Source organism: Homo sapiens, chromosome 8 (assembly GCF_000001405.40).
Source record: "Homo sapiens chromosome 8, GRCh38.p14 Primary Assembly".
In the NCBI taxonomy this organism is placed as follows: Eukaryota; Metazoa; Chordata; class Mammalia; order Primates; family Hominidae; genus Homo; species Homo sapiens.
In genome coordinates, this window is record NC_000008.11 from 81,799,316 (window position 1) to 81,818,494 (window position 19,179).

General features: G+C 33.0%; 1 protein-coding gene and 1 pseudogene across 13 annotated transcripts in view; one reads left to right on the top strand and one right to left on the bottom strand.

The window, feature by feature from the left end:
• Positions 1–267: 267 nt before the first annotated feature.
• Positions 268–19,179, bottom strand: part of SNX16 (sorting nexin 16) — a 42,603-nt gene continuing 23,691 nt past the window's right edge. For 9 of the 13 annotated variants that reach the window (XM_005251282.5, NM_152837.3, NM_152836.3 and 6 more), the window contains 4 exons: positions 16,010–16,079; positions 3,777–3,913; positions 3,065–3,184; positions 268–2,278 (listed from right to left, as the gene is read on the bottom strand). In XM_005251282.5, coding sequence (XP_005251339.1) covers positions 2,182–2,278; positions 3,065–3,184; positions 3,777–3,913; positions 16,010–16,079 — 424 coding nt within the window. In that variant the 3' untranslated portion in view covers positions 268–2,181. The remainder of the gene's footprint in view (positions 2,279–3,064; positions 3,185–3,776; positions 3,914–16,009; positions 16,080–19,179) is intronic. The other 4 variants (NR_145473.2, NR_145472.2, NR_145475.2 and 1 more) reach the window with 1 other exon arrangement.
• On the top strand, positions 8,385–9,615 carry HNRNPA1P36 (heterogeneous nuclear ribonucleoprotein A1 pseudogene 36; annotated as a pseudogene).

Below are 19,179 nucleotides of genomic sequence, written 5' to 3' on the forward strand. Positions count from 1 at the left end.
TATCCACAAAAATGTTATTTCAGTTACATTCAATTTTTAGAATTATTAGTATAGGTTATGTTAAAGTGCATTGCACCTATTCACAAAGACTTTCAAAAAATGATCAGCAATATAAAGTGTAAACCTAAAAAGAAAATCAGACTCATTCTACATCTGTGAAATTCAGCACTTAAATATAATTCAATTTACAATAATTGTAAAAGATAGGGAGAATATAGAAAATGGAGGGGGAAAATGGTATTCAACATATGAACAACACAGCTACTGTTGTAGTGAAAAAATAATTTATTAAATGAACATAATACTGGGAGTAAAATGCATTATAAAAGTAAAAAAAAGTAAATTATAAATATAAATAATAGTGGTTTACCTAATTAACAGATTTTTTTCTTCATCCTTGAAGAACTTTAAATACAATCTTCCAAAAAGCCAGATTGAAAAAGTGGCTGGTTCGCTTTAGAACAGACAGGCAACACTATAATATCTAGAATTTGGCAAAGATCTGTTATATAAGATACAGAATGGTACTGATTAAATGATTGTTCTTTTTAAGCCTTTTGTAAGTCTAGAATAATAATTTTAATAAATAAGCAGATCAATTTATTATATTCATTTCTGTCTCTAAGGATAGCAAACATATTTCTGATACACATTGTGAAAAATGTTCTGAGAACATACCTGTGCACTTTGACAGACTAAAAATTTTTGGTTATTTGGTAAAAAGTGATCTCCTTTTTACTTCAAAGGTTAACAACAGCCATTGAATGTGTTGATATATGTCATTAGAATTTTAAACAGCCACACCTTAATATATATATACATCAAGATACCGATAAACTTTTAGATAGTAAAGAAAAAAATGGAGATTGTTATTCTATTTCCCCAGTAAGTTTCCCTCAGTTTTTAGAAAGCATACCGACTGGGATTGCAAAATGCCAGCATGATTACAATGCTTATTAACAGCAATATGCAAAACAGTGAAAATAGAAAATAAATAACTTCATCCTATAAAAATGAAACAAGGCACTTTTAATGACTGTACACAAAGCTGAAATAAACAAACATTTTTTCATAAAGCTGACTCAAAGACCCTAGGAGACTTTTGTAGAAAGTGAAATAGTAAAGGCACTACATAATTCTTTCTCCTAACTCTACTTACTAAAAAAATCCACCAATTAAACTTGGCACAAAAGAGTTTAATTATCATAAAGTGCATCACTTGGCTAAATATATTAAAAAGAAAATCAGCCATAATACAGTATAACAACATCTTCACACAAATAGAAATAAAAATGCAATGTCAGGAGTCAAGCCAGTTAGGAACTTTGCAGTATATATGGCTTTTTATTTTCTTTTTTGTATAAGCCCCTATTTATTTAGAATCTATATTTTCGAAAGAATATGCCTTAACAAAAGGAGGTAGTATTCTGAAAGAGGCAAACTCACTAAATCTAGGTAGAGATAAAGATTACGTGGAAACTAAACAAATGTAACATATTAATAACTGTGACACTTATTAAAGTATTTTGATATTAATGAATCAGCTTTTAAAATCAAGGCTATCTTATCACTTTAGCTATATGATTACAGCTCTTTCAAGTAGTTTTCCTTTGGTACTAGAAAGTCATTTTTCTAAAGAGCATTAACATTTCAAATAAGCAAATTTTATTTAGAGATGTAAACATGTAAACATTAAAAACTCAACTAAATTTTATCTTTATTATGATGGTCACTGATTTAAACTATTAATGAAAATATGTCATGTCAGAGATATAAAGAAGAATATATCACCCAGATAGTAACATGCAATTAATTTCCATTTGATTAATATAATTGGTGATTTAACACACATACATATATACACAGTAGTTTGGAGCAATATATAGGCAAAACACCATAATAATTTATGCACAGTATTTAAGAATGTGGGCCTTGATAACAGAATTCCAACAAGATTTTTTTTAGTGTATTAAATGTAATTGGATAAAATACAATTAAAAGCAGCAGTGAATATATTTCCTATCTCAATAACTTAAAAAAACTTCTTTATGTAAACTTTATACATGTGCATTCTTGCTCTTTTCTATATGTTTTACAGTTCTTGGTTCTTCTTTTAAAATAGTATTTGCCACTCTTCTAAATTTTTGAATAGTCTAAATGGAGGGAACTGCTTGTGATACATTAGTCTTCTTCAGCATCATATGCCACTTCTGCTACTTCTATCTCTGATACAGCATTTTCAGGTTCACTAAAACTTAAGCATGGTTTATTATCAGCTCTGCAAAAAAAAAAAAAAAAGGAACATATCAATGATGGGACTGGATGCATGCTATTATTTCATTTTCACTATTACCTTTAAAAATCTTCTACCTTATAGAAAATTTACATACTTAGTGTAAAAGTATTTAATGTAAGAGTATTTAAACATTCAATCAGAAATTTGATATATTTAAGTTGTCATTGCCAAGTAAGACCTTTGGAGATAGGTTTTTAAACTCAGCTCTCCAAACTACCATTTACCAATAAAAATCTACTTGGTAATTACCTTTATCAACATAAAATTTTTCTCAGAATTATAGTTGACCATTACCACTAAACTATTAACAATTACCTTGGATTTGTATGCAATAAAAATTCTATGTGCTTTTAAATTCATTACCTTTTCATCATTCCTATTAGGTAAGAAGGGTGGTTTGCTATTATATTATAGTAGCCTACTTTTTCAATGGAAAAAGGGTGATATTGAGGGAGATTAAGGTAATCTGTCAATATTTAAAAAATTAGTTAATTACCTGAGTCAGAGGCCAGTTAATGCAGACACAGCTCTAAAGTAAGTAATGAGAAAACTTACATCCTGATGTCAAAGACACTTTTTATTTTTAAAGTGTTTTTATTTTTAAATATTTTAGGAAAAGCCTAAAATATTTCCAATTCATTCTCTGTTTGCTTAGCAGATTCGTGATACAGTAACACTGAGTTCATAAAAAAATACTCTATAGAGTATTAGAATCACTTTCCTCCAATTATTCAAGAATTAAGCTATCATAAATGAAATATTATATACCTAGATTCTTCATCCAGGACATCTTGATCAACCTCAAGTGCAGAGGACTCCACCTTTAGGATCTGTTCACCTTCTGTTTCTGACACATCCAGTGATTCTTCAGGTTCTAAAGACAATGTTCTAAAAGTATGTTATAGCAACAAGTTATTTTCTATGAACAAAACAGGCATATGTTTAATGTTGTGAATACAGGTAGCTATAGCAGTCTTTAGCTGTTAAGCCTTAATGTAGTTACATAGCTAATAAATAGCTCACTTTGGAAGTCAACAGAGAAAATCAGTAGCTATGATTAATTTAAAATGACTTTAGTATCAATTCAAGATATGCTGATGAGATGGCAAACCAGAGCTTTCATATGTGAAAAGCTGGCATAAATGCCTAGAAACTAAGATGTCACTTAAATAAAATAATGGTATTCCATTTAATAATGATTATTTATTTAATAATGATTTAACAATGATTAAAATGAATAATGTTTACCTTGTTGAACAGTTAGTGGCTTATTTTCCTGATGTTTCCCATCCTTCAATGTTCAAAATTTATTTAGCAAAATTATGCTAAATAAAGCATAATTTTCCCAATGAAGTATGCCAAAAGCCTACAACTTTCAGAATCAGAAAATTCCTAAATCATATTAAAATATAAAGGGCAGTTAGCCCAGAGTATTAAGGGTTGAATTAGTCAGAGTAGAAATGCAAGTATCACAACACACCTGATTCTGTTCTCTAAAGTGTCTATATGAAGTTGCTTCTCACTGAGCAGTTTCTTTAGTGATTCCATCTCCTTTTGTTTTTCAAGTAGTTCTTTCTGTAAGCGGTAGTTTGTCTCTTCTAAAGTTTCACAGAATGCCTTAAAAAAAACAACAAACAAAACTAAACACATGCAGAAAAAGAATACAATTAATTACAAATGCAGTATCTTTCTCAAGAGCATTATTGAAGAGTCAAAGAACACAGATAATCAAAATAATAGTATGAAACTCCAAATGATTTGTTCTCTACCCTCATCTTTTTAGGTCACTGGTATCTTAACTTTAGTTCCCATCCACCAGGGGGACATAACTACAAGTTCTTTTTCTTAAGACTTACAGTAGTAAGCTAGTGTGCCTGAAGTGAGTATGTGATATCCCTCTAGTGTAGAACTGGGATAAAAAATAATTGGCAACTACTGCTTTAGTTTTTACTCTCTTTAATCTACTTTTGCCTAGTCATACATGATTACACTTAAAAAATATCAACTGTGGTTGATGCCATTTGTATTAGCTCAGTAGACATACTACTGTAACAGCATTTTGGTAATCTTGACACTTGGGTTGCAGTACCAGGATGGTACAAGAAATGAGGAGTCAGGTACATTTTGGGAAGTAAGTGACAAAAAGTGATAGATTCAGGAATAAAGCAAAGACCCTAAAGAGCCTATTAATAAAAGTCACTCAACAACACAGAAAAACATCAAGAAAGATTGTTTGTCTCAATCTGGTTTCTAGGTGGGCGAGGTAAAGTCTCACCTGAAGAATCTAATCTAAAAAGCCTCATATGGATTTTGGGAAAAACAATGTATCATAAGGAAGACAAATAAAAACAAATATATATATATAAATACAAGATACTGAAGTTGCAAATATCAAAATCAAATAGATCTCTAAAACACCAGGAAGACAAATCAGTTTACTATAAAATTGTAAGACAGTAGGGGACTGGGAGTAGATGTCATAAAACAGTCTATGTCAAAGGCAGTGGAAAACACTTTAAAGCACTGAGAAAAATAACTATCAAGGTAGAATTCTACACTCAGTTAAATCATACTTCAAGAATGAAACAAAATTAAAAGACATTTGAACATCAAAGATCTAAGCATTACCAATACACATTCACTGAAAGAACTATTAAATTATGTACTTTAAGAAGTAGTTAACTGAATCCCAAAAGAAAGAGTAGGATGAAAGTAGGAATGGAGAGGAATGAAAGTGACAAAGACTTAGGTAAATCAAAAGAAACATTGACTGTGTGAAATAATAATGATGGCCAACTTTGAGGAGGGCTGTAAACAATCGGTTTCCAATATATGAGAACATATGACCATTAAATAAAAGACAATGACTACAGAAGTTAAAAACCAAGAGCAGAGAACAAAGAGAAAAACTCATTAAATAACATGAAAAGAAAGAAAGGAGTAAAAAAGCATTTTATAAAGCAGAATCAAAAGCACAAAATAAAATAATAGAAATAAATACAAATATATTGGTCATTACCATATATAAAATAAACTCAAAACTTAACAGATTTTTCAGACTGTATTAAAAAGAACTATGATGTTTAAAACAGCCATATTTAAAATACAAAAGTAGAAACATACTTAAAGGCAACAGACAAATGTTAGCCTTTTCTCCCCTACCAAAAGTTGTAGTTTTCTTAATATCTGACAGAATGCAGTTCAAGGTGATAAACATTATTAGGCACAAAGAGTCTCTACCTAATAATAAAAGTAATAATTCACCAGGAATATTTTAAATGCATAATTACAAGAAGAAATTGAACAAATCCACACCATAAGGGGTAAATTTGACATAACTCTTGGCAATTAACGGATTAAACAAAAAAATGAGTTAAGATTAAAAAAATTTTAACAATACAAATTAGTAAGTTTGATATGATGAACATATATTGAACTGTGAGTCTAACAATTAAGAAATACATATTCTTTTCAAGCACACATGGAAAATTTAGAAAATTTATCACATATGTGCAGATCCCAAAGACTGCAGAACACTGTCAACAATAACCAAGAATTGGTGTCAGACAGAACATAATCTCTGAAAAAAATGCAAATAGACTAAAAAACAGTCAATAATATTAGAAAAAAGTGCTTGAAAAATTAAAGAGAATTCTAAATTTATGGAGCAAACAAGATAATAGGAACAATATAAAATATGAACGAGAATGAAAATATTAAGACTTGTGAGATGCAATTTGACTGTTATATAAAAGAACTGTATAATACTAGAAACAACTGAGAAAGCATCCAATTAAAGAAGTCAAAGAACATACTAAAACCAAGTATAAGAAAGGAATTAAGAGACAGGAAAAGAATTTAATCAAGAGAATCAAAAAGGCAAAAAGTGGTTCTTTGAGAAGACTATTAAAATACACCAAATCCAAGGAGAAAAGACTAGTGGAAAAAACAGTGAGATTCAAAGTGGATATATAACTAAAGATATGTTAAGAGATTTTCAAAAGTCATGTGATACTACTAAGAACAACAGTTTTGCGGTGGCTCACGCCTATAATCCCAGCACTTTGGGAGGCTGAGGCGGGCAGATCACGAGGTCAGGAGACCAAGACCATCCTGGCTAGCACAGTGAAACCCCGTCTCTACTAAAAAATACAAAAAAATTAGCTGGGCGTGGTGGCGAGGGCCTGTAGTCCCAGATACTCGGGAGGCTGAGGCAGGAGAATGGCGTGAACCTGGGAGGCGGAGCTTGCAGCAAGCCGAAATAGCGCCACTGCACTCCAGCCTGGGCCACAGAGCAAGACTCTTATCTCAAAAAAAAGAAAAAAAAATGTATTTTAAAATCTATACAAAATGGTCAAGTTCTAGAAAAATACAGATTCTCAAAACTGAAACCTCCCCAAATAATCTGAATAAACTACAGACATCAAAGAAACAGAATCAGTTGTTAAAAATCTACTATAAGACAAGCTAAAGAAAATATCAAATCCAGATTGTTTTACAGGTGAATTCTAACAAACATTTAGGGAACAACCAATATGCATTTATTCAAATGGTTCTGGATAACAGAAAAAGAGGGACTATTCCTTATTTTATAAAACTGGTATAATTTTGATGCCAGACCCAACAAAGGGCAGTAACAGAAACAAATGTTACATATGCCAAAATTCTAAATAAAATCATTACAATTCAAATCCAGTAATTAAAAAAATACGCTGAATTTGCGTTAATCTCATAATCAATGTTTTATCAACTGAAAATCTATGAATGTAATTTACCACACCAATAGATTAAAAAAAACCCATATGATCATCTATACAGATGCAAGTGAAAGCATTCACACACACACACATCCCTACAACCTCTTAGCAAACTAGAAATAGAACTTCTTTAATCTAAAAACAACAACGAAAACAATAAACAAATCAACATAACTCACAACTACCACCAGCCTATAGAAAACTCCATATCCAACAGCAAAATACAGGATCATTTTCATTAAAGTTAGGATGAAAGGAAAAGGATGCCCACCATAATGGCTTCAATTAACCTCCAAAGAATCTATCTAGCAAAATAATACAGAAAAATGAAATGAAAGATATTACGTATTAGGAAAAAACACATTGTTAATATTGCAGGGGATATGATTACCGATATGGAAAATCCAAACAGATCTATAAACTAACAAGAGAATGTGACATACAAAATAGATATATAAAAATCAATAATAAAACTAGTAACTTAGAATGTAATAAAAATACCAATTATTTCATCAACAAAAATGATGAGGAATCCTATGGCTTTCCCTAGATGAAAAAAATGTAAACTTTTATTGAAGAACTTAAAAAAAAACCCTCCATATGCAAAGATCTATTAATAGGAAGATTCAATACTATAAAGATACTCTTCAAAATTAATAAATAAATGTATTAAAATTCCAAACAAAATGGCAATAGGATTTTTTCATGGAACTCACAAAGTTGTTCTAAAATTCATATGGAAAAGTGAATAGCCAACTTGGAAGAATAAGGGCACCCTTGTTCTGCCAGTTAATAAGATTATTTAATTATAGTAATTAACACAATATAGTACCAGCAGAGGGATGAGACTACTAAAAATGAACTGAGTGGCCAGGCATGGTGGCTCATGCCTGTAATCCCAGCACTTTGGGAGGCTGAGGTGGGCAGATCACCTGAGGTCAGGAGTTCAAGACCAGTCTGGCCAACATGAAGAAACTCCGTCTCTACTAAAAATACAAAAATTAGCTGGATGTGGTGGTGCGTGCCTGTAATCCCAGCTACTCAGGAGGCTGAGGCAGGAGAATTGCTGGAATCCCGGAGGCAGACGTTGCAGTGAGCCAAGATGGCGCCACTGCACTCCAGCCTGGGTGACAGTTTGAGACTCTGTCTCAAAAAAAAAAAAAAAAAAAAAAAAAAAAAGAACTGAATGACCATAAACAGACCCGTTCACACTCAACTATTTAGCATAGAAGAATTACTAATTAGTGCAGTAGGGATGAACTTTTAAATAAATGAGGTTGGGATCACTGGTCATCCATACAGAAAAAGTTAAATCAATTAAAAGATCTGAGGTCAGCTTGCTCCTTTCTGCCCGTGGATGCCGCCGAAGAAGCATTGTTAAAGTCTCTCTTCTCCCTGCTGTCATGTCTAAGTCAGAGTCTCCTAAAGAGCCCAAACAGCTGAGGAAGCTTTTCACTGGAAGGTTGAGTTTTGAAACAATTGATGAGAGCCTGAGGAGCCATTTTGAGCAATGGGGAACCCTCACGAACTGTGCGGTAATGAGAAATCCAAACACCAGGTGCTCCAGGGGCTTTGGGTTTGTCACATATGCCACTGTGGGGGAGGTGGATGCAGCCGTGAATGCAAGGCCACAGAAGGTGGATGGAAGAGTTGTGGAACCAAAGAGAGCTGTCTCAAGGGAAGATTCTCAAAGACCAGTTGCCTACTTAACTGTGAAAAAGATATTTATTGGTGGCATTAAAGAAGACACTGAAGAACATCACCTAAGAGATTATTTTGAACAGTGTGGAAAAATGGAAGTGATTGAAATCATGACTGACCAAGGCAGTGGCAAGAAAAGGGGCTTTGCCTTTGTAACCTTTCACGACCATGACTCCATGGATAAGACGGTCATTCAGAAACACTATACCATGAATGGCCACAACTGTGAAGTTAGGAAGACCTGTCAAAGCAAGAGATGGCTAGTGCTTCATCCAGGCAAAGAGGTCGAAGTGGTTCTGGAAACTTTGGTGGTGGTTGTGGAGGTGTTTTCGGTGGGAATGACAACTTTGGTTGTGGAGGAAACTTCAGGGGTCATGGTGGCTTTGCTGACAGCTGTGGTGGTGGGGGATATGGTGGCAGTGGGGATGGCTATAAGGGATTTGGTAATGATGGAAGCAACTTTGGAGGTGGTGGAAGCTACAATGATTTTGGCAGTTACAACAATCAGTCTTCAAATTTTGGACCCATGAAGATGGGAAACTTTGGAGGCAGAAGCTCTGGCCCCCATGGTGGTGGAGGCCAATACTTTGCCAAACCACGAAACCAAGGTGGCTATGGCGGTTCCAGGAGCAGCCGTAGCTATGGCAGTGGCAGAAGATTTTAATTAGGAAACAAAGCTCAGCAGGAGAGGAGAGCCAGAGAAGTAACAGGGAAGCTACAGGTAACAACAGATTTGTGAAGTCAGCCAAGCACAGTGGTGGCAGGGCCTAGCTGCTACAAAGAAGACATGTTTTAGACAAATACTCATGTGCATAGGCAAAAAACTCGAGGACTGTATTTCTGACTAATTGTATAACAGGTTATTTTAGTTTCTGTTCTGTGGCAAATGTAAAGCATTCCAACGAAGGGTTTTAATGTAGTTTTTTTTTTTTTGCACCCAGGCTGTTGATTGCTAAATGTAATAGTCTGATTGTGATACTGAATAAATGTCTTTTTTTTAATGTGCTGTGTAAAGTTAGTCTACTCTGAAGCCATCTTGGTAAATTTCCCCAACAGTGTGAAGTTAGAATTCCTTCAGAGTGATGCCAGGTACTATTTGGAATTTACATACAACCTGCTTGGGTGGGGAAGTCATTGTCTTCAGAAACCTTGGTGTAGTTGAACTGATAGTTACTGTTGTGACCTGAAGTTCACCATTAAAAGGGATTACCCAAGCAAAATCATGGAATTATTGGTTATAAAAATGATTGTTGGCACATCTTATGCAATATATTTAAATTGAGTAATGGTACCAGATAAAATTATAGATGGGAATGAAGCTTGTGTATCATCCATTATTAGGTGTAATCAATAAACAATTTAATTCTCTTAAAAAAAAAAAGACCTGAGTGTGAAAAGCAAAAGTTTACACTTATTAGAAGGAAATTTAGGAGAAATATTTTTATGTGCTGGTGTGTAGGGAAGAACAAGAGCCATAGAAAATGTGACAAAGAATGTGCAGCTACTATGGAAGATGCCAGACCTGGCTGGTAATCAAGAAAATTAGGCTAAAATAACAGTAAGATATTATTTTATACCCATCAGACTGACAAAAATTAAAAGATTGACAATACTTGTATTAGTGGTGATATAGAGCAAAAGGAAAACATATTGTTGGTAAAAGTACAAACTGATATAACAAATTTGGGGTGTAATTTTAGCATATGCAGTGAAGTTGAAGAGGAGAATATCTAACAATGAAACAATTGTATTCCTAGGAAAGTACCTTTAAAACCTTGGGTTTCTTCCAAGATTAACATCCACCCCAGTGAGGGAGGTACCTTAGGAAAAATGTATATAGGAATGGAGACTGTCCTTAGAATAGTCATTGGAAGGCTATATTGATATAAATTTCCTTCTGGGATAGAGATCAAACAGTTCCATCAGGACAGGAAAATCTGCTAGCAAGTGATTCTAAGAAAACAGCTTCATTACATATTACAATTTAGGTAGAGAATAGATGGCTTAAGAATTCTGCTTTAATTGTTTGTACTTATAATTCATATAAAATATTAAAAATTATAATTTATTTCTAATAAGCTATTCATTAATGTTAATACAGTAAGACCTCATTTCTTCCAATTATATTATCTCCATACAAGTAATAGATTTGAATTTTCCCAAAAAAAGGTAGACTAATTTATATCCCTAATCTTAATTCCCTCTTTTAGTACAAGTATATGAGGGGTAGAAATGACTACCTTAAATAGGGAACAGAGAAAAGTAGGTTAAAGATTTGCCGAACTGAGTATCCTTTGAATAAGTTTAATTTTACACTCCAAGAAATGTGGGTTAATAAGTCATTTTGGGATTTTTCTTAAAATGAGAGGCTGCTTAAGTAAGTCTGCAGACAAAAGAGATATATATCTCATTAGGTTACTGTAGATTTTACCTTGAAGGAGAGGAGCAAACACAGAATTTCTTCATTCACTGTTCAAATAAACATATATTTTCAAATACAACTGTAGGAAAATGCATTTATTTTAGAGAAAGAGTCTAGGAGATACATTCCATATTACTCTGTTGAGTGTATAAACTTAATATTGCCTTGGTGACTTATTTAAATCAGTGGTTCTACATCAGGAGCGATTTTAAACTCAGAAGACACTTGGTAATGTCTGGAGACATTTTTACTTGTCATGAGTGGGTATGCTATTGGTGTCTAATATGTAGAGGCCTAGGATGCTGCTAAATATTTTCAATGCACACGTCAGGCTGTGCTCTAGCCTCGGCCACCAAAAAGTTATCCAGCCCTAAATGCCGATAGAGTGTATGAGAAATCCTAACTCAAATCAGCTTCCACTCTTCCCCTGCCAAGTTATGATACTTGACAATACTAACTAGCATATATTTTGAACTAAGAACACTAAAAAGATATTCAAATTATTATTTTTTTGTAAAAGGGCTAATTTAAAAATTAAAAAATGAACTAAAGGCTGTCTTGCAAGAAGAAAGAATACTATACTTTAAAGGAATAAAAATCCTGGAATCCTTGAGCTGGAAAAGGAGTGATAAACACTTAGCTTCTTTAGCCCAATGTTCACTTAAAATAGAACTTAATTTTCTAAACAGATTCTAAATCAAAGAGACAAAATGGTAGCCGAAAGGCTGAATGAAACCCAGAAGCAATGATCTAGCCAGGATTTAATAGGGAGTTCTGGGAAACGATATATCTATGGGGCCTTGATAAGCTTTCCACATATCCTGGGACCCAAGCCACACAGGACAACAGAGCCCATATGCGTGTATAGAATAGGAGATGGGAAAGGATTCAGCAGAAACTAAAATCTACAGCATACTTGAAAATGACCTTAACTTTAAATACACTCCTTAGACTATATACAGATCCATTACCAGAGTGTAAAAATCTTACTAGTTTGAGGTATATAAGCAAAATTTATGACCAACTGTTGACTGAACATTAAGCTATGCAGAAATACAAGAAAGCCAGGCTTAAAAATAAAATGAGGAAAAAAACACTGAGAAAAGACATCAGTGACCACACATTGCTGAGGAGACAAACTTCACAGATTTAGTCCAGGCAAGTTACTAAACAGACAGACAAAATAATAATAACCACTATAGGAGACAGAGATTAAGAATCAAGAGTTGCTACAGTGTATCACCTAAAATATCTTGTATTCAAATAAATGTACAAAACACTCAAAGAAACAAGGTCAATCTAAGCATACTCAGGAAAAAAGGCAGTCAATTGAAGCTATCTCTAAACGGCCCCAAATGTTAGGCATATCAGGCAGTGATTTTTAATGCAACCATTACGTACATGAAATAAACTAGAAAAAATTGAATTAATGATAAGGATAATGATAATGAGTCAACAAATAGAAAAATCTCAATAAAGAGAAAGAACAGTTAAAAAATAAGCAATTGAGAATTTTGGAGTTGAAAAGCACAGTAACTGAAAAATTAACAAGAGGGGCTCAACAGGAGATTTAATATGACCGAAATATAAATCTGTGAATCTGAAGATCAATAGAAATTTTCAATCTGAAGATCAGAGAAAAAAGCAATTGAAGAAAAATGAACAGCACTTCAGAGACATTTTGCACAACACAGGGTATACAAATATACAAGTAATGACAGTCCAAGAAGGAGAAGGGAGAGAAAAAGGGAGTGAAAAAGTATTTGAAGAAATAATGGCTAACAAATTCCAAAGTTTGATATAAAACATTAATCTGTCAAGTCAACAAAGCTCAATGAAGCCAAAGCATGAGAAACAGAAAGAGATCTACACCCCAATACATCATAATCAAACTGCTGAAAGTCAAACAAACAGAATATCTTGAAAGCAGCAAGGGCAAAATGGCTCATCATGCACATGGAAACAATATAAAGGTTGATTTTTTTTTTATCAGAAATAATAGGGGCCAGAAGGCAGTGGAATGACACATTCAGAGTGCTGGAAGAAAAAAATCTGTCAGTAAAACTATCTTTCAAAAATGACCATTTCCAGCTAAACAAAGACTGTGAGAATTTGTTGCTAGCAGACCCGTCTTACAAGAAAAACTAAACGAAGATTATGAGACTGAAAGGAAGTGATACCAGATGATCACATCAACCTCCAGGAAGAAATGAAGAGGGCCAGAAATAGTAAACACGTGGATTAAATAAAATAATCTATGAAATATATTTTCCCATTTCTTAAGTTCTTTAGAGCACAAAAGACTGTATAAAGAAATAATTATTGCACTGTATTGTTAGGTTTATAAGATATATGTAAAATAGATAACAATAGCAACACAAAGAAAGAGGGAGGAAACGGAGAGATATTGGAGCCAAGTTTATATTTCACTGAAATATAATACCTTTAGCAGTCACTGAAAAATAAGAAAAAGTAAAAAATTCTACAGAAGAATCAAAATGGCATACTAAAAATTATTTTACACAAGATAAAAGGAGGAATGGGATGGAGACAGATGAGAGAAACAGAAAACAAATTGCAAAATGGCAGATGTAAAAGACAGATGTCGGAAAGAATAACAGATCAAGACCCAATTACACGCTATGTAGAAGGGATGGATCTTGGGTTGAAAGATACAAACAGATTGAAAGTAAAAGGATGGGAAAAGATATGCTATGCAAACAGTAATGATAATAGAGCTGCAGTAAACAAGACAGTATCATACTGGCACAAGGACAGGAAAATAGATCAACAGACTAGAATTAAGAGTCCAGAAACAAACCCTTCTTTTCATGGTCATTTGATTTCTGACAGAAGTGTCAACATAATTAAACAAAACGAACTAAAAAAAAATTAAGATAGGTATAGGAACTTAAGACCCTTACCTAATACCTTAAAAAAAATTAACCCAAAATAGACCATAAACCTAACTGTAAGAGCTAAAATATAAAATTAAAAATATATATATGAGAAAATATTTGTAATGTTGGGTTAGGCAAAGAGTTTTTATAATACAATAGTAAAAGCATAAGCCATTAAAAAAGTGATAAAATAAATTCATTAAAATTAAAAACTTTTGCACTTCAAAGAATGCCATTAAGAGGATGAAAAGACACCTACAGACTGCAAGAAAATATCTACAAATTGTATCTCTGATAAAGGATTAATATCTAAAGTAAAGATTTTATAACTGAATAAGATAAACAGCCCAGGTTTTTTAAAAAATGGGCAAGACGTGAACAGACATTTCATTGAAGAAAACATGAATGGCTAAAAAGCATGTGGCATGATATCAATATCAAAAAATCATTAGAAACATGAAAATTAAAGCTATAATGAAATATCACTACCTATCCAAGAGAATGGCTATAATCCAAAAGAGAGATAATATCAAATGTTTGTGAGGACATAGAGAAACTAAAACTCTCGTACAGTACAAGTGAGAATAGAATACAGCAACTTTCAAAAACTTTATTGGTTTCTTTAAAAAGTTAAACTTGTTACATGATCAAACACTTCTACTCTTAGGGAAGTAGAATTTCTCAGTCCATGAGAAATAAAGCCATATGTTCACACAAAACATTATATGAAATTGTTCATAGCATTACTCATAATATCACAAAACTGGAAACAATCCAAGTATCCCTCAATGGGTGACTGGATAAACAAAATGTGGTATATGCAAACAATGAAAAACCATTTAGTAATGAAATAATTATAGAGGATAACATGGAATACCCTCAAAAGCATGCTAAGTGAAATAAATCAGGTGTAAAAGATTATAATACTGTATATTATATATTAGGCAGACTGTATATATAAAAGTTATGTATATGGTAAACTAATACACACAAACACACACTGTATGATTTTATTTATATGAAATATCCAGAAAGGGCAAATGTGTAGAGAATGAGAGCAGATCAGTGGTTGCCTTGGGCTGGAAGTGCAGACTGACTGCAAAATGGCTTATAGGAATTCTTTTTGAGGTGATGAAAATATTCTAAAATTGGGTTACAGTGATGATGGTAACTGCTCTATAAATTTCCAAAAAAGTATTAAATTGTACATTTTCAGTAGAATAGCAAACAACAAATTGGTGAATATTATGGATGAAAATATTACTCCAATAAAGCTGTTTTAAAAAGGCCAGGGCATTCAATCTAACACAAAGAACTGACTCAGCTTGAATGAAAACATTACAAACCTACCAATTAAATCTGTTCCATTTAAATGCCATTAAACATTTGGGGAAAAAACTTGCATAAAATCCTAGCTAATCTACTATTACCAAATCTGTTTTGTGAATCTAGGCTATTGCTTCAAGAAACAGGACACTTTAACACGTCAATTAATGTAATTTGAGAAGCATCAGGCACAAGCTAAACCGATAACAAGATAATCACTCCTACCCCTGAAGTTTTAAATTTGATTTTAGCTGTACATTCCTTATTTTGACACTCAAATGGAAGAAAACTCAGTTTACACATAGTATTATTAAATATAAAAAGGTCCCCCAAATCATTTTTTTTGAAACAGTAAAAATAATGCAGGATTTAATTTTAGAGCTTTATTGACTATAAGACATATATGAATTTTTACTTTTTCACTGAGCTAAGTCTATGTATTTCACTGAAAGCAACCTTTGACTCAAACATGAAAGCTTTCTGTGCAAAACTACCATAGCCTGAAATTATAATATTTTGCTGTTTGCTATTCCATCCAAGAAACAATGTAGTTATTGTACTGCATTAATTGTTCCTCTTTTCATGTGCTATATAATACAGCACTTACCCTGCTTTCTTCTAGGCTATCAAATGGACCCGGTGGATCATCCAAACAAAGAAATTCTCTCACTGCAAGGCTTTTCAAAGGAAAAAAAAAATGATCTGAAGTACAAATAAGTTTGCAAAAGATAGCAAAAAGCAAAAGTTACTTTGAAGCTGTACAGTGTTTTAAACAAGTTGGTTATGTGTTTTCATACAAGTAACTAAATATAAATATAAAACTATAGAAGATGCAAAGATCTTAAGGTGTTTTCTAAGATCTTAGAACATAAATATCACAAATTTATTGTTACATACAAACTATGGGGCATAAAACATACTTCACAATAATGGTTCAAGAGACCAACATAGTGAATAGCCTCTTTATGATTTTCAAAGAAATATTAGTCTGAACTAGTCTAACAGTCATTATCCTTTTATGAATAAATGCAATTTCTAATTTATACCTCACTTGTTTTTGTTTCAGTAGATTCTTCTAAAGTGACCGAAAAGCATTTACTCTCAAACAAGTTAAAGACTGACCTTGCAATCATGTTTATTATATTAATTTACTTAAATATTTTCCCTAGATAGTTCGAGAGAAAAAATTCTAACCATCCTATCTCTAAATGACCACAAATTTTAAAATAGTTATTAAAAAATGATATTGTTATGCTTATACTTTGCTATTATCAGAGAAACAGGTTAAGGAGGTAGATAACCAAACTTCCTTATAATAAAAATGCCTCCCTGCCTTTCTAAAAAGCAAGTTTGGACTGTTGAACTGAGAGACAACTCTATGTACACATCAAAATATAAATGTGGATCCTTATTTTAGATTTGCAAAATAAAATCTTTACAAATTTCCTTTTACAAAGGATTTTCTTTTTTTTTTTTTTTAAGACGAGTCTCGCTCTTGTTAACAGCCCAGGCTGAAGTCTGGAGTGCAGTGATGTGATCTCGGCTCACTGCAACCTCCGCCTCCTGGGTTCCAGCGATTCTCCTGCGTCAGCCTCCCGAGTAGCAGGGATTAGAGGCTTCCACCACCACACCCAGCTAATTTTTGTATTTTTAGTAGAGATAGTGTTTCTCCATGTTGGCCAGGCTGGTCTCCCACTCCTGACCTCAGGTGATCCGCCCGCCTCAGCCTTCCAAAGTGCTGGGATTACAGGCACGAACCACCGCGACCGCACCCAGCCAGGATTTCTTGATACACTACAAAAAGGGGATGTCAACTTATGCTAAAAGGGAATGGGGCTTTTGGTTTCAGATTAGGCCAGACAGGTTGATGATGTCAGGAGGTGTCCATGAAGAGTTAAATGGAATTTTACATATCTTATTGTATTTAATATGCTCACATATTCTATTGTATTTAATTTTCACGACAATCAGGTAAGATTAGGATAAGTATTGGATCTTCATTCACAAATGATACCGAATTTCAGAGAGGTGAAATTACTTGCCTATTGTCAGAAAGTGCAGGTGGTAGAGCTGTACTTTCAATCTGTTCCCTGAGTGTGAATATGTGTCCTTTTCTACCTTTAAATTCTTCTGTCTTATGCTTTGGTTCATTTGGATTCTCCTTGCTGGACACTTCTCTCTGAAAACATCTGATTTATCTGCAACCCTCTCTAGTCATGGCCTCTAGTAGAAAACTGCAGTTGGCTGATAGCACAGAATAGAACAAGGTCTTCTGATGTAGATATTATGCTTCTATCCACCCATTATTTATACTGGGGCACCTGCTATTACATACAAATGACTCCTAGGAAATCAATTGATCTGGGATTGAGAGGTCAAGTTTGTATGAAACCCTGAGGAAATAGCACTTAAGACTGAAAGCAAACTGCTAAGAAACATATGGAAGGGTCCTGTTTAATACTTTCAGTATATGACAAATGTGAGACATTATTTTCTTACAGTTTTATATTCAAATTTCCTCATACTTTAATGTTGCTTTTATGTTTACAAATTACTCTACTGGACTGCTACTGCTAGGAAAGAAAAAGGGGTAAAGGAGTACACATATATCCCTTTTTATATCTTTGGTTTACAGTAGAAATTTAGCCAAGATGGACAGTGAATGTTGACAGTGTATCCAGCTGGAGGAATCATTTTGGAGTGGTTATTCTGTTTCATTCACCTTCCCTAAAAATCTTTATGATCTATGGCTCACTAGAGTTCTACTTACATGAAATCCAATGGATTCTTTAAGTTTTTATCCATATAGTTCCAAGGTTATACTCTATGCTTTACTTTCTTTAATCAGTAGCAGAATAAAATTTGAAACTGGCTTTACAATGTTAATTTACATAAAACCTTTTCAGTGGCTCATTACATTTCCTCTGCTTCAACAAGACTCAGTCAGTAAAGAAAGCAGTCAATACCCTCAAACTCTATTTTCTTTCTAAGGAGAGGACACACAAGAATCTCTGGAAGATGGTAGTAATTGAGAAAACAATTCCTTTCTTAGAAATTCTGATACATTTTTCCCCCTAGGAAAGGAAACCCTCACCCTTGCTTGAGAATCACTGACTACATAACTTTATTTAGATCCAGTGAATATTTATTGACTGTCTATGTGTGCCATTATTCCTTTTATTATCTGGAATACATTTTTACTGTGTTTGGGAAACCTATTTTAAAATTGGGGTCAGGTGTTGACTTAATTTACTAAAGGCAGATAAGGAAATCACCTATGGTATCCCTCAGCATTGTTTTAATTATCAGAGCAAATCTGTACTATAAATTCACCTGTTTCTTTGATTCTCTTGAATTTTGTTTAAAGAGTTTTACCGTATTTTCAAACTATGCTCTTAAGAACAACATATTTGACTTTATTGCAAATTTTATAACTATCTGTAATTTAATTTCTACCAAAATAACATTTTGTAGCAAAAACCATCCAACCAACCTTAGTAATGTGTTGATTCTCATGAGATAGCATTATATGAACTACTGTGTAAATAACTGAATTCTTCTTTCATTTTATATAAATACTAAGATTAACTTCTCTGAATATCTTAAATTTTCTTTTTTAAATTAAAAAAATAAAAACAACTTAGAGACATTAATGATCACATTTCCTGTGAAAAGATAGTTCAGGTTGCAAATGTACAAAAGTTATCTTTAAGTATTCTTGTTCAAGTAGAGAATTATTGAATTTTTTTTAACTAGAAGAAACCTAACTTGTCATCT